Raw genomic sequence first — 13,702 nt, 5'->3', positions numbered from 1 at the left:
ATTTTTAGTAGAGACGTCATTTCACCATGTTGGCCAGGATGGTCTCCATCTCCTGACCTCATGGTCCACCCACCTCGGCCTCCCAAAGTGCTGGATTACAGGCACGAGCCACCACGCCCAGCCATAAAATCTACTTTGAAATGAAAGACACACTTATATATATTGAGAAAGGAAAACCTGGAATGTTCTAAACTGAAATAGTAATCATCTAATGAGACATATTTTGGGGGAGTTCAAAAGCAGGAAGGATTAAGTAAGAACTTAAAGAGTGGTAGATTTCATAGCCTTGAATCCACTGCAACTAAGTTTCTGCTTTTTGCCAGAGTGAAATCTGATGGTTGGAAAACATGATTATTTTGGCTGAAAAAATGAAACTTTTAGCAGAATCTATGTATATGAATATGTACTGGTGTGAGTGGGAATAGGAAGAAGTAAAACAGGCTTGATAGGCTTTTTGTGGTATCCCAAAGACCTTTTTGAAATGAATTCCTTCAGTTCCCATTTTAAATACTTCAAGAGTATGTCTAAGAGCATGAGTGATGTGTATGCTTATTTTGTTAAATATCTATACCCTAAAGACTTAAAAAACCTGGCAAGAACAATGTGTATCCCATCCCTTTGATAACAGCTCAATAGGTAACATAAGGTGAATTTATTATGTAAGGTTTTAGTCTTTGGATGCAATTTTAATACTTGGCTTCCTAAGAGTAAAACATAAGATTCATTATTTTAGTGCTTCTCAATGAACAGAGATCAGAGGTAAGGAAAAGATAAATGATATATGATTAGTTGCTCATCTCTATCTCAAGTTATAACCAGACTAGCTATAACTCATTTTTTTCATTTATTCAGAGCTGAGACCGAAATTCTATTACAGAATTAGAAAGGACATAGATTATCTCTTTCCTATATTTATATTGACATTACAAATGTAATTATCCTCTTGCACCTCATCCAAAGTTATATCTGGAGAAAAGTTAGGAGATACTCTTTGAAACAGTTGTGTTTTTTTTGAAATAATAAATTCAGATTTTTCATTCATCTTCCGTTTCAAGATGACTTTTTCGTGTTGAAGTTAACTGAATAACAGCTTTCTCAGCCAAGGCAAAGACACATTGATTTGGTTCTTCCTTTGTAGAGAGTGTTCATCTGGGACTTGGATGAGACAATCATTGTTTTCCACTCCTTGCTTACTGGGTCCTACGCCAACAGATATGGGAGGGTGAGTACCAAGAGGCATCAGTTTTTAATTTCTTTGGAGTAAATATACCTCTAATTTGTTTATTATCCAAATGAATGTAATTTAACTTTAACAAATTTAAAATATAAATGGAGAAGAACTATATAGTCAAATATATATATGTAAGGTAAAAAATATGTAAAAGAGCCAAAGAAGATATTATTTTTAGGTCTTTGGCAATAAGATACACTTTGTTCAATTAAAGTCATGCTTATTCAGACCCCAGTGAATAAAAGTGATTGAATTTTATCCTAGGATGAAATATTAAAATACATAAGTGACATAGAAAGATGTTTCGTGTTCTCTTTTACTTTTCCTGTCTTTTTATTCCCTAACATTTAATGGAGCAAATATTTCACTTTCTGTTGTTCTCAGTGATTAGAAGCTTTGGTATTTTATCTTCAAAACAACTGCTACAAATGTCTCTATATGTCCCTTTGCTACTTGGGTTAAATGTATTTGAATGGTATGTAAGATTGATCCTCTGAAAGGCAGTGGGACCATGTTAGAGTTGTACAGTACTTATATTGGTATTATAGATAAAGAATAATATTATAGACCACCTTCTGTGAGTGAAACTTTGGTTTCCATGTTGTACATTTGGGTATCCCAAAAGTTTGGAATTTCTTTTTTGGCATATTGATGATTTCATAAGTCTTTCCCAGGCAAAAATGTTATTTAAAGTAGCTATAGGTAATTTCTCAAGTTATCCTGCTAATATTTCATTTCTCTTGTTTTCATCTGTAAAGAAATAATAAGTCTTAGGTTTTTTTAAGTTATTTGGAGCATTAGAGACTGAATTCTTATTATGTCCCAGTGACTTCAGCAGTTTATCATAATTAAGTGTTAGAATTAATACCATTAAAATGCACATACTGTTATTACAAATTTGACCGGGTGGTTGTTCTTTCAACAAATATTTATTTTAACAAATACACACTGAGTATCTGCTATGGATATGCAGTCTGGGGGATTTAGCTTCACAGCCCAGATTTCCTTTTCATCATCTCAAAGGTACACCTAATCAAAAATAGGCTGAAGCAATAATATCCCACCATTTTAATTCCTGTTCCGAGATAATATATCGGTAAAACACAGTATGTCTCATCTTATTGTTAGGCAAATTCTCTATAAGAAGACAACAAAAATGCAGATTATAAAATATAAGGCCATAGAATCAATCAGCCAAATGGTCTCTACTGCGTGATTAGCACATAGTAGGAATTCAAGAAACATTAGCTGTGCTTTTTCTTGTATTATTTCTTCTGTCAATACTATCACTGTTCCTATTTCTAGAAAAACTACTACTTAAAAACTAAAGACTAATATCTGAAATATCAACATGTAGTTAGTAGGCAGAACCTTGAAGATCTCCTTAACTGATCCATTATAAAATCCCTACACCTGTCTTCTAAGGAGACCACTGGTGCCTGTAACTCACACAAGAGTGTTGAAAAGAGTAGGCACTTAGAAAATGAGCATTTGAAAACCACCCAGAAAGTCTCCTATAAGCTCTCGCTAAGGGCCAAATTGACGCAAAAGAGAGTTATCTAAGAGTATTCTATTAGCCAATGAAAGAGACCAGCTTAGAGTTAAGGAGTTAGGCATCCCATGACCTACTGAACTTTCAATCTTTGGCCATAAATTATTGGCTTACACATGGAACTTACACTTAACCTAGAAATGCCTGGCTTCATACAATTTTTCATTCATGTCTAAACCATTCTCTAAATAATGTATTACAAATACCATGAGTTTAATTTTTTAATGTGTCAATCATTAGAACTTTGAGGCTTCTTCAAGTAGTAATATATTTGTTTGTTTGTTTAGTTTAGTTTTCTCATTCCAGGTCATGTGATAAAAAGTTTTATCTCGGCCGGGCGCGGTGGCTCATGCCTGTAATCCCAGCACTTTGGGAGGCCAAGGCGGGTGGATCACGAGGTCAGGAGATCGAGACCATCCTGGCTAACACAGTGAAACCCCGTCTCTACTAAAAATACAAAAAATTAGCCAGGCGTGGTGGCAGGTGCCTGTAGTCCCAGCTACTCAGGAAGCTGAGGCAGGAGAACGGCGTGAACCTGGGAGGCGGAGCTTGCAGTGAGCAGAGATCGCGCCACTGTGCTCCAGCCTGGGCAACAGAGCAAGACTCCATCTCAAAAAAAACAAAAGTTTTATCTCATATAATTTCCAAAAGCCAAATTTATATACTCTCTGAAGTACAGGCTATTTGAGTTTCTTAAATATAAGTGTATCCTTCATTGATAAGTTTATGGGGCTGTGGAAGAACTTCAGAAAGCCAGGTTTCTGAGGAAGATCTTCCTGCATGTGACTTTGGGTCTGAGGCCTGGAGTTACTGTATGGTCATCAGGAGAAAGGGTGTTGTAAGCAGAAGAAACAGTAAGTGCAGAGGCAAGAAAGGCTTTGCTGTTTGATGGACAGAGGCCAGTGAGACCAAGCTTAGTGATGGAGATGGAGAGTCAATGAGATGTGGTCAGGGATGAAGGCAGGTTCCAAAGGGCCTCCCAGCCACACACAGTCAACAGGGCTAATCTCACTGCATGTGCCATGGGAAGTCATCGGGGGACCACAATGGAGGAGATGAGAAGATCTGATTTACATTTTACTTTAGCTAAGTGTGAAGAATGAATGGTAGTGGAAGAAAAATGGGGGTCCAAATTGGAGGTTGTAGCAGTGATCTGAGGCACCAGCAGTAGAGATGGAAAGAATTATTTGGACTCTGGATTACATTGCAGGTAGAGAACTGGATTTAGAAATGATTTGAATTGATTGGAGTGGTGGGTAGTAAACAAGACAGAGAAGTGAAAGATGATTCCTGTGTTGTCCTGGGCAACTGAGAAAATAGTCGTATATTTGTTGAAATAGTAAAGAATTCAATTTGGAGGGAAGGGAGAGTTCAGTGTTGGACAAGTTTCAGATGCTTATTAGACAACTGCTTGGACCAGGCAAGGAAACCACTGGAAGGTGAGCCCAGGGCACTGGGGGGACTAGTCAGTACAGGAGATGGCAGATTCACAGTCAACATTGCACAGATTAGGGTTAGAGGCTCCTTGGAGTCTCTTAGCTTGATTTCTTCCTAAACATTTTTTGAGCACCTTCCTTGTACTGAACACTTGCGGTCAGCCTGTTGTCTCATTGCCTGGAGGTGTCTTTTCCTGGCCAGGTGACTTTTGAAGATGCATGGTTTAGGATGTTGAATTGTAGCTGGAAGCATGCAAGGAAGTCTACTTAATGATTTCCTCATTAGAAATCATTACAGTTGATAAGAATTGGCTCTCAAATCTGATCATCAAGCTTTGTAAAAATGTGATTCAACAAGGATTCTTCCAAACAATAATAATAAGCAAGCTGATCAGAGTGTCTTGCAGTCCTTTTGTTTCCCCCAGGGCACTGAGGAGAAAAGTCTTAAAGGAGTTCAGTGACAAGACTTCTTTTTAGGAGCACAGATTTGGTGGTGTTCCTGGGCATTGTCAAGGGGAGCATGTGGCTGAGCCTTACTCTACATGTATATAAAGAATGAATGCCTGACAATGTGATCGCTGTTCTGTCTCTAAGGGAACCAGATACTTGAGAAGTAGCTTAGTCACAGTGGCTTAGGCAACTCAATGAGTAGGCCATTCAGTAAGAGGACACAGGATCTGGTTGATACAATGCAAAATTAGGGCATGTTACAGCAATGTGTACCAAAAAAAAGTTTGAGAATGTCCCACCTTCCGTGTAATCCTAGCTGTGGGAAGAAGGCACGTTGGGTGTTATAAGAAAGTCTTGTTTTATAACAAAGGTGATAGGGACAAAAGAGGGTGCTGGGCACAGTCAGCCATGGCTGAGGAAAACAAGTAAGATGTTAGGAAATTGAAGAGCTTGTGAGTGCTACGTAAACTAGGATGTTTTAAATAGTATCTGACCTAGCTGTTTTTGTTTAATGCATTTTTAAAAGTTGCTTTAAAACTAATAACAAATTCCAGAATGTCATTGAAGAAAACTATTCTTGGGTTATTTTTCATTGAATGGTCTCCTTATAATAAACAATGTAATTCAATTATTGTTATCAAAGTGCACACCCAAAACTTGTATTTCAAATCAAAATTGTGCTGATGTCTCAGGCATGGTCCCCCTCCTGTGGGAGGATTACCCAAGATATCTACACTCAACGCCTTGATTGTTTCAACACTATCTTTTTATTGTTTAATGTCTGTGTCTCACAGTGATTTGGGCTAGAATGGATCTTAAAAATATGGATATTCATTTTTCATTTTCAACAAAAAACAAAACATGAACACTTAAGATAGTGTAAAGCTTAGTATGTTTAATCATAGGCCCTATTAAGAACTTTCTATATGCCCAGCATTCATTTAATTCAACATTAATGCTCCAAAGGTGCTGTTATCAAGCCTATTTTATAGATGAGAAAATTGAAACGGGAGAGGTTAGAGACCCAATGTAATAAATACTCAGCACCATGTCTAGCATAAAAAAAAATTTCAACAAATACCAGTTATATTTGAAAGTAGGTGAAGCTTCACTATCAAAAAAAAACAAAACAAAAACAAAAACTTGAATTCCTGCATAGTGGCCAGTGAGTAACATGGTGGCAGTGTCCTCAAATTTATGAATTACAAGTATACGCTATGCCTTAGAGTGTGATAGAAAGAGGATCGGATTTGAATTCAAGTAGATCTAGACTCAAATCCAAGCTCTGACTTTTCACCTCTTTGACCTTAGGCAAATTATTTATTCTTACTGAGCCTCAATTTTCTTATCCATAAAGCCAGCTACGTGACTTGCGGAATTGTTTTAAAAATTAAATTGTATCATGAATTTGGCCCAGCATGGTGGTTTATGCGTGTAATCCCAGCACTTTGGGAGGCTGAGGCGGGTAGATCACTTGAGCTCAGGAGTTCAAGACAAGCCTGGGTAACATGGCAAGAGTCCATCGCTACAAAAAAAAAATACAAAAATTAGCTGGGTGTGGTGGCACATGCGTGTAGTCCTAGCTGCTTGGGAGGGCTGAGGTAGGAGGATCGCTTGAGCCTGGGAGGTCAAGGCTGCAGTGAACTATGATTGCACTACTGCATTCCAGCCTGGGTGACAGAGTAAGATCCTGTCTCAAAAAAAAAAAAAAAATTGAATTGCTCACGAATGTAAAAGTCCATGCACAGAGTCTTATTAATGGCAACAACCGATAGTAAGAAAGGAAAGCATGTGTCACCTATTGAACTTGTAGTTGCTCTCTAGAGTATTTGTTTTATAACTCACTAGGCTTCTAAGAGGATCTCACTTGTCATAGTGAGTTTAGATAAACAGCCTCCCTTGTGGGTGTGTTTCTGTGATCATTCAGTACCTTGAGGAAAGAAAAACTGAAAGCAGTTTATATCGCCCATTTCATCAGAACAGCTCAGTTCGCCAGTAGAGATTGTTGTTCCTACTCTGCTTTAGGGGACAACACAACTCCAAGCTCTTTTGGTGGAGGATTTTCTTCCATGGTGGTTGATGAAGAAGCTAAACTCTTAGCATGGCACCAGAGCAGTAGGACACCAGTGTCCTCACTGGGTTGCAGGAGATCTGGTTACTTAACCAGGATGATCTCCCTTTTGGAACCTCCAGTCCAAGGGTTGGCAAACATTTTCTGTAAAGCAACAGATAGTAAATATTTCAGGCTTTGCGGGCCATATGCTTGCCATAACTACACAGTTCTGCCTTAGTAGTGCAAAAGCAACCAATGAATAAATGTGGCTGTGTTCCAATGAAACTTGATTGAATGCTCCCAAATTTGAATTTTATATAATGTTCATGTCTTATGAAATATTTTTCTTTTGGTTTTAAAAACTCTAGACCGAGGATTGACAGACCATACCCCATAGGTCAAATCTGGTTTATGGTCTGCTTCTGTCAGGCCTTTAAGAATGTTGTTTAAGTTTTTAAAGTGTAATTTAAAAAAATAAAAGCACAAGGAAGAATGTGTGTCAGAGATGATATGGCCTGCAAAGATAGAAATACTCCCTGTCCCTTTAGAGAGAAAGGCTGTCTGCCTGCCTCTGCTGTAGGTGATGCTCTGAGCTTTGCACTGGTTCATTTTCCTCCTGCCTTCCGGGACAATTCAATGACAGCAACAATGTGACTAGACCGTGAACTCAATGCAGGCAGTGCATACATGCGCCTGGGGCCCCAAGGAAACACAGACCCTCACGTGAATTCATTAGGGTAGGTGAAATGGCTGTTACAAACAGATCTAAAATATAATGGCACAAACAAAAGAAATCTGTCTCTTGTTTAGTTGTCTAGAGTGGGGATGTTCCAGGTTGCTTGGTTTGGGCATGGTTTGGTGGTACAAATAATAGTAGTGCCATTTTCATCATGCAGCTTTTGAAGCTTCTGGGATCATTAGCATTCAATCCCCAGGGGAGGGGGTGGAGGCAGGGGCAGTGTGAATGGGAGGCTTTGTAAGCTAGGCTGAGACAGGCACACACCTCTGCCTGTGCCATTGACCTCAGTCAAATGACCCAGTGCAGGGGAGGCTGGGCGATTCAGCCTTCCTGTGTGCCCAGGAAGAAACAGAGAATGGGTTTTAGTGAACAGGTAGCACTCACAGCCCAGTTCTCAACTATTTGACCAACGAATGAAACCCAAAGCACACTTTCAACCCACCTTGCAGCTCTAGCCACACTGACAGAGCCAAGCCCCAGGCTATGTGAGTGGTGGCTCTGGAGTGATGATGGCCAATCTAATCCCAAAGGACAGAGCCCTGATTTTATTTTCTTCCTTGTATATCAATGCCAAATTAGATAAAAAGGATGAAATAATATATGTGTCTATATATGAAACCTCTTTATGCTGTAGAGTGACATAGAATCTAAACTCTCAAAACAAACAGAAGCACATTTTTTCAAATGCCAGCCAAACAGGCATGCTTCATCTCTCTTCTGGCCATATCTTGAAGGTTTCTCTCTTTTCCTTTAACAGGCAGCCCCTCTGCCTCACTACCAGTAGTATACAGCGGAAATGTACATTCTTGCTGTTTAATGGAACACAGCCTTACTGTTCTTGTTCATGAATATAAAAGGGAATGCAGTGAATGAACAGGAATCATCACAGCTCCTTAACCACTGCACTGGCCTGCCACCTGCAACTTTGGACCTCCCTTGCTCTGTGGCCTTGGAAAAAGCAGCCTATAAAATGGGAGCAATTACAGGGCTGTTAGGGGAACAATGTGAACCACCTAGAAAAATACTCATAAGTACTTCATGAACAAGAGCTATTATTTATTGCTTACTTTGGGGGTTCAGAGGAGGAAGCAGGAAACCATGCAGACTTTGTTATTCCAGGCAGCAAAGAGGGAGTGGGAAACAGAGAATTACAAGTGGCAGAAATCATAAGCAAAAAGGGTAAATAGTGATAAAGTATATTTAGGGGATTAGACTTGAAGAAGAATAGTAGCAGAAAATGTGTTGGATCAGTAATAAAAAGACTGCATCTTTGTTCAACTTTTATGGTTTACACTGCTATCTCACACTTATTATCCAATGAACTCCTTCTTTTTGCCAATAAGAAAAGTGTAGCTCAGAAAAATTAAATTATCTGTCCAAAAGGCAGATCCATCAACTGGCAACACCAGTCTTGTAATTGACCCAGGCTTAGAGAGAGCATTGAGTGCCAGGATTTCGTTCTGTGGGCATGGGAATGCCATGAATTAGGGACATGATGGAAGAACATGATGGCAATGGAGGGACATGCTGGAAGTGTACATTTGGAAGACCGATTTAATAGCAAGGAAAACTATTGTGCAGTCCTCTGGTAGAAAATAATAAAGGCCTAAAAAGTGGCTGGAACACTCTGTAGGAAGGAGGGAGGTAGGAGAGTCATTACAAATGAAATCCTGATAGGTCTTTCGACTGGATTTAGCTGTTTAGCCTTTCCCTTAGCACCCCATGGGCCCCTTGGTGTTGAAGCCAATTTGGCCAGGTCCATGCTGGCTTTATTCTTCTTCCTCCCTCTTTGTACCACTTCTTGGCAGTTGGCCCATGTTTGAGATTCACTGGGTTTTCTCCACAGTCAAAATTAGTCTTTGGAATGTTGAAGTTCTTTCTCTTATTCTCTACTTGAGTATTATTTTCATGGTGTTGAAAGGGAGTCTCTTAAGTAAGGAGAAAATTAACACAATCGAGTGTCACGTATCTAATCAGTAAAAATGACCTGATTAGCCCCACCACAAGTTTGAGGGTTTTGGGGGTGTTTTTCCAGATCATTCAGGCAGTAGTTTAACCATGGTTTATTTTTTATGTGTATACAGTCTCTCTTGGTAATCTGTATTATTTCTTAATTGGCAAGAGAATCACATCCAACTCCCAAAATCTGATATTTCATATCTAAGTAGCCCAGTGATAGGGCCTTAAACCTTGAAAAAAGTTAATATTTTATTGATGATATTGCTCCCTTTAGACAGGAGAAAACACAATAATGGAACCTTTGGGTCTCGTAAGTTGTACAGATCATTTGGATAACACTTTTGGTTATGTGTTTATGTGTTTTTTATTTTTTATTTTTTAAAAAAACAATGTTTCAGCATAGTTTTTCCTTTCAAGATAGGAAGCTAATTTTCAAAGCTTAACCTTAATCCTTTCCTTGTGGGCAGCCAGCATGGGGTCTTAAAAATAAACCACTCATGTATTCAGAGTGCTCATTCCTGTTTTTCAGCTTATTTTCCCCCAAAACAAAAGATCTTGGATGGGGAGAATTTTTAAATGACATTCAGGTCCTGTTTGTGGCTGTAATATTAGCATTCTAAGTAAGGAATTGTTTAAGGTGCACTGAATGAGTATTTTTCTTTCTTTTGATTGATACTGCCCAAAGATTTGTCCTTGATTTGAGCATACTTAACAAGATTTTCACATGGACGAATAAATCTCATAAACCTGCTCACATTGTTAGCAACACACCTCACTGGGCTACCACAACTCCCAGTAATTGCTTGCCAGGGAGGCTTAGCTGCCCATGTAGGATTAGTACAGAGAGAGTTTAGGAACCTTATTTTCTTTTATTCCAGAAATTCAAAATGTAGGTAGCATATCCTGAGGAACTAGTCATGCTTTCTGAAATAGTTGCACTGTCTTCTGATAACTCCTGTCTCAAGATTAATTATTTAAATAGCACTTTTTTAAAGATAATATATTCTTTGTGATTCAAAGTAGAATAGCAATTGCTAGGAGTTTGTGTAGAGTATCATCTCATGGATATAAGTAGGTACATATTCAGAGAGGAGAGATACAAAAGACATACATTATGTATTTAATGTACTTATAAATTGAAAATAATAGGATAAGAATTAAAAGGCAAAATAATTCCCTTTCCTTTTTATTTTTAGTAAGAACACCATAAGTACTTTGTAGAGACCAAGTCAGAATGCTGAAGCTACTTAAAATTGGAACAATGACTTAGCCATTAAAATAGTTCTTAAATGTTGACTTAAAGCATTTAAATTAGACAATTTATATTATGTGTTTACTTATTTTGTTTTACTGTTAAATTTTTTGTTTTCAATTTAGAAAAATAGCATGGCCAAAGAAAATAAAGCTAAATGTGCAAGGGTGCATAAATAAAAACTAGAGCTACATTAAAAATAGGAACAATTTTTCTTTTGGTGCTTTACAGGTGTATCTAGCAATAAAGAGAACCTGCTTCCTCATTAATATTTGATGCCATTTTTAGTGGTTCTTATAATAAAACTAAAGTGACTTATTCTTAGATGACATCAGATCTAATGTAATACTTGTCACTTGTGGCATTATTAAATCAACAATAAAAATCTTGGGAAGTATCTTTTAAAACATAGTTACATAAAAAGGAGAGATACTTTCATGGTTAGAAAATGGTTACCTTTAACGTTTCTAGAGAAAGGAGAAGAGATATTTTGTTTTTATACTCAGAAATATATTCTGGATCCTTCTAAAAGCCCCAAAAGAGATAAACAACAGGTTTCCCTTCAACTTTCTATCTGTTTTGAGTCTCCAAAGACCGTGAACTATCTGAACTGAAAGTAAATAAAAACGGGTCAAGAAGATCATTTCTGAATCAGCCTCACTTCTGTGAGGGGTTGGTGTTTGCCACTAAAAATAGACTACATTGTCATTTGAAGCCAGGAAGTGAGAAGTGTTCATTTTTTCTTGCCTCTTTCTGATCATTTTAGTTCAACGCATAACTCTACCTTTCTCCAGCAGGCTGAATTGTGCGACTTTCATGAGTCTTACGTGTTTCTTTTATGCATTTTGCCAGAATACTGTGCTTAAATGGTATGGGGCCAGTAGAGAGCTCCAGGAGTGGGAACTCACTGAACTGGTAAATGACAGCAAGAGAAGTTAGGACAGATACCAGTGTGTCCACAGGTGACTCTTGGTGCTCTTTGGCATCTGTGTAATAAGGTAACATGAACTGTGGTGGGCGGGCATCTCCAGTCTGCTGTGCGGGAGAGGGAGGATTGATTGTAGAAAGTCCTTAGTGGTACCAAGAGAATGTGATACGGCTCTGGCTTGGTTGACCATAGACAGAGTTCAGGGTAAAAAAGGTATTTTGTTGTTGTAGGGAGAAAGCTGCTGGATTTATAGGAAAAATGATGTGTGCTTACCCAATACTATCAGTAAAATAGTGTCTGGCTGCTTTACATTTTTCTTTAAAAAACACTATAAATTCCACATTGCAATCCTTTTCTCAAGCACTCTGAATGGGGTCACTAAGCAACTTTGTGACACAATTAGCTTCAGCTGTCCAGTTGGTCAAATTAGATTTTACCTCTTCTCCCTTCCTCAATGTTTGTAAGCTGCCTCACGAACATGACTACAACATAAAACATTTAACTTTCCAAAGAGGTCAAGAGAATTGAGGATAAATACATACCGCCTTCAAAACAGTTTTCACAGTCCTTATTTACAAGATAGTTAAGATCAAATATCATGTACAAACACTAGAATTAGCAGTGCAAATGTAACTATAATAGTTCTCCACATAAATGGGCAACAAAATAAAATGAGCAGCATAAAGTTTAACCTAGTCACTAGAATAAAGCAAAATGGCATGTGAGAATGTACTCCCTTCCGCTCCTTCCTGGGGACCTAGAAAAATTCCTGGTGGTTTCTGTAGTGGGTAAGGTCCCCTGCTAATACCATGTGGTCTCCATGTTAGGACTACCCAAAGTTTAAGACTCCACCATAGAAGTATCAGGTGGTACTCAGAACGTTAGGCTTCTAGCAGAGATGAGTTTCCCTGTGGATAAATGATCATTAAAAACATCCATGAAGTAATTCAGAAAATTGTACCACCAAATGGCACCCTTCTCAAGTTGCACACGCAAAACCTCCAGGGCTATATGGACTCCAGTACCCAGAACACATGCCTGGCTGCACACCTCTCTCCTGCCTGAGTCACCATTTGTTTCCTGGCCTGACATTAATGAGTCATTCAGAAAGTCATTCTTTTATGATTTATAGAATACATAAACAGTAATGTTGTAGGTGCCTAGCCAAAATTTCTGCCTTCAAGGAGCTTTTAAATTAACAGAGGAGGCTGTTTGGTAGGGGATGGATGAATCTTCAATAATAGTCTGTCATTAGGGTAAAACTATTCTAAACTAATGCCACTCTAAATCCACTAAGGGTAAAACTGCAGAATCTCCAAAGAAATAACAGTGCTAAGAAGGCAACAAGTCTCTCTGTATTATTCATGAGAGCCATTCTCTAGTAGCTACATCATTTAACTAGCAAGAAATAGCCAGTAATAGGATGTCAGATGATAACACTAGCATTGTGAATCAGAAAAAAAAAAATCAGGATCCACAGGAGACATACAACCAAAAAATAAATGCCAGGAGCCTTAAATGAAATGTTTCTAGGGTTACTGCTCTTCTTAAATTACACCGGGATTTCTCCTTTGCAGCTGATCAGCACTGCAATTCAACACCGCTATTGCTAAATGTATGAGATGATCTTGTGGCTTCAAAAATGTAGGAGTTCCTCTGGGTTCCTGGAAAAGAACATCCCATATGGTAAAAATGAATAGAGTGAATAGAAGCCAAGCATCGTCTGACATACATTCTTGTGTATATTCCAAATCCTCACTTATATCTGGGTACAGATTACCCAAGTATGCCCTAGCACCTTCTTTTCAATAAAAGGTGATATGCTGAGGAACTTTGGCAGGCTTTTGCATTATGGCCTTTAAAATGTTTTTGGCATTTTAAAAGTATGGCTTGCACGTGTTTTAAATTTTCAGAATAAATATTTTTAATCCATAGTTTCACCACCAAAAACAGCCAATCTTGTCTTAGTGAATATTTTTATATTTTTTTTAACTTTTCATTATAGAAACTTGCAAACATAGAAAAGTAGATAGAATAATATGTATAATGAAACCCAATGTAACCACTCCAGCTTTAACAATATCAAGTCCTAGCCAATCTTG

The 13,702-nt window shown here is 38.1% G+C and overlaps 1 protein-coding gene across 27 annotated transcripts in view, besides 4 other annotated features; it reads left to right on the top strand.

Moving 5' to 3' along the window:
- EYA1 (EYA transcriptional coactivator and phosphatase 1) overlaps window positions 1-13,702 on the top strand; it is a 350,662-nt gene that overhangs the window by 277,133 nt on the left and 59,827 nt on the right. For all 27 annotated transcript variants that reach the window (XM_047421528.1, NM_001370336.1, XM_011517484.4 and 24 more), the window contains one exon: window positions 1,139-1,222. In XM_047421528.1, coding sequence (XP_047277484.1) covers window positions 1,139-1,222 — 84 coding nt within the window. The remainder of the gene's footprint in view (window positions 1-1,138; window positions 1,223-13,702) is intronic.
- Window positions 6,357-6,486: an enhancer, noted in NCBI's record as "active region_27515". NCBI's record gives its function as "activates an Ori minimal core promoter by ATAC-STARR-seq in GM12878 lymphoblastoid cells {active_cell/tissue: GM12878}" and the evidence as "EXISTENCE:reporter gene assay evidence [ECO:0000049][PMID:35858748]".
- Window positions 6,677-6,736: an enhancer, noted in NCBI's record as "active region_27514". NCBI's record gives its function as "activates an Ori minimal core promoter by ATAC-STARR-seq in GM12878 lymphoblastoid cells {active_cell/tissue: GM12878}" and the evidence as "EXISTENCE:reporter gene assay evidence [ECO:0000049][PMID:35858748]".
- Window positions 11,229-11,328: an enhancer, noted in NCBI's record as "active region_27513". NCBI's record gives its function as "activates an Ori minimal core promoter by ATAC-STARR-seq in GM12878 lymphoblastoid cells {active_cell/tissue: GM12878}" and the evidence as "EXISTENCE:reporter gene assay evidence [ECO:0000049][PMID:35858748]".
- Window positions 11,379-11,438: an enhancer, noted in NCBI's record as "active region_27512". NCBI's record gives its function as "activates an Ori minimal core promoter by ATAC-STARR-seq in GM12878 lymphoblastoid cells {active_cell/tissue: GM12878}" and the evidence as "EXISTENCE:reporter gene assay evidence [ECO:0000049][PMID:35858748]".

Source organism: Homo sapiens, chromosome 8, assembly GCF_000001405.40.
Source record: "Homo sapiens chromosome 8, GRCh38.p14 Primary Assembly".
NCBI lineage: Eukaryota > Metazoa > Chordata > Mammalia > Primates > Hominidae > Homo > Homo sapiens.
Note: the sequence above shows the minus strand (reverse complement) of the source record. Positions and strands in the feature narration are given on the sequence as shown.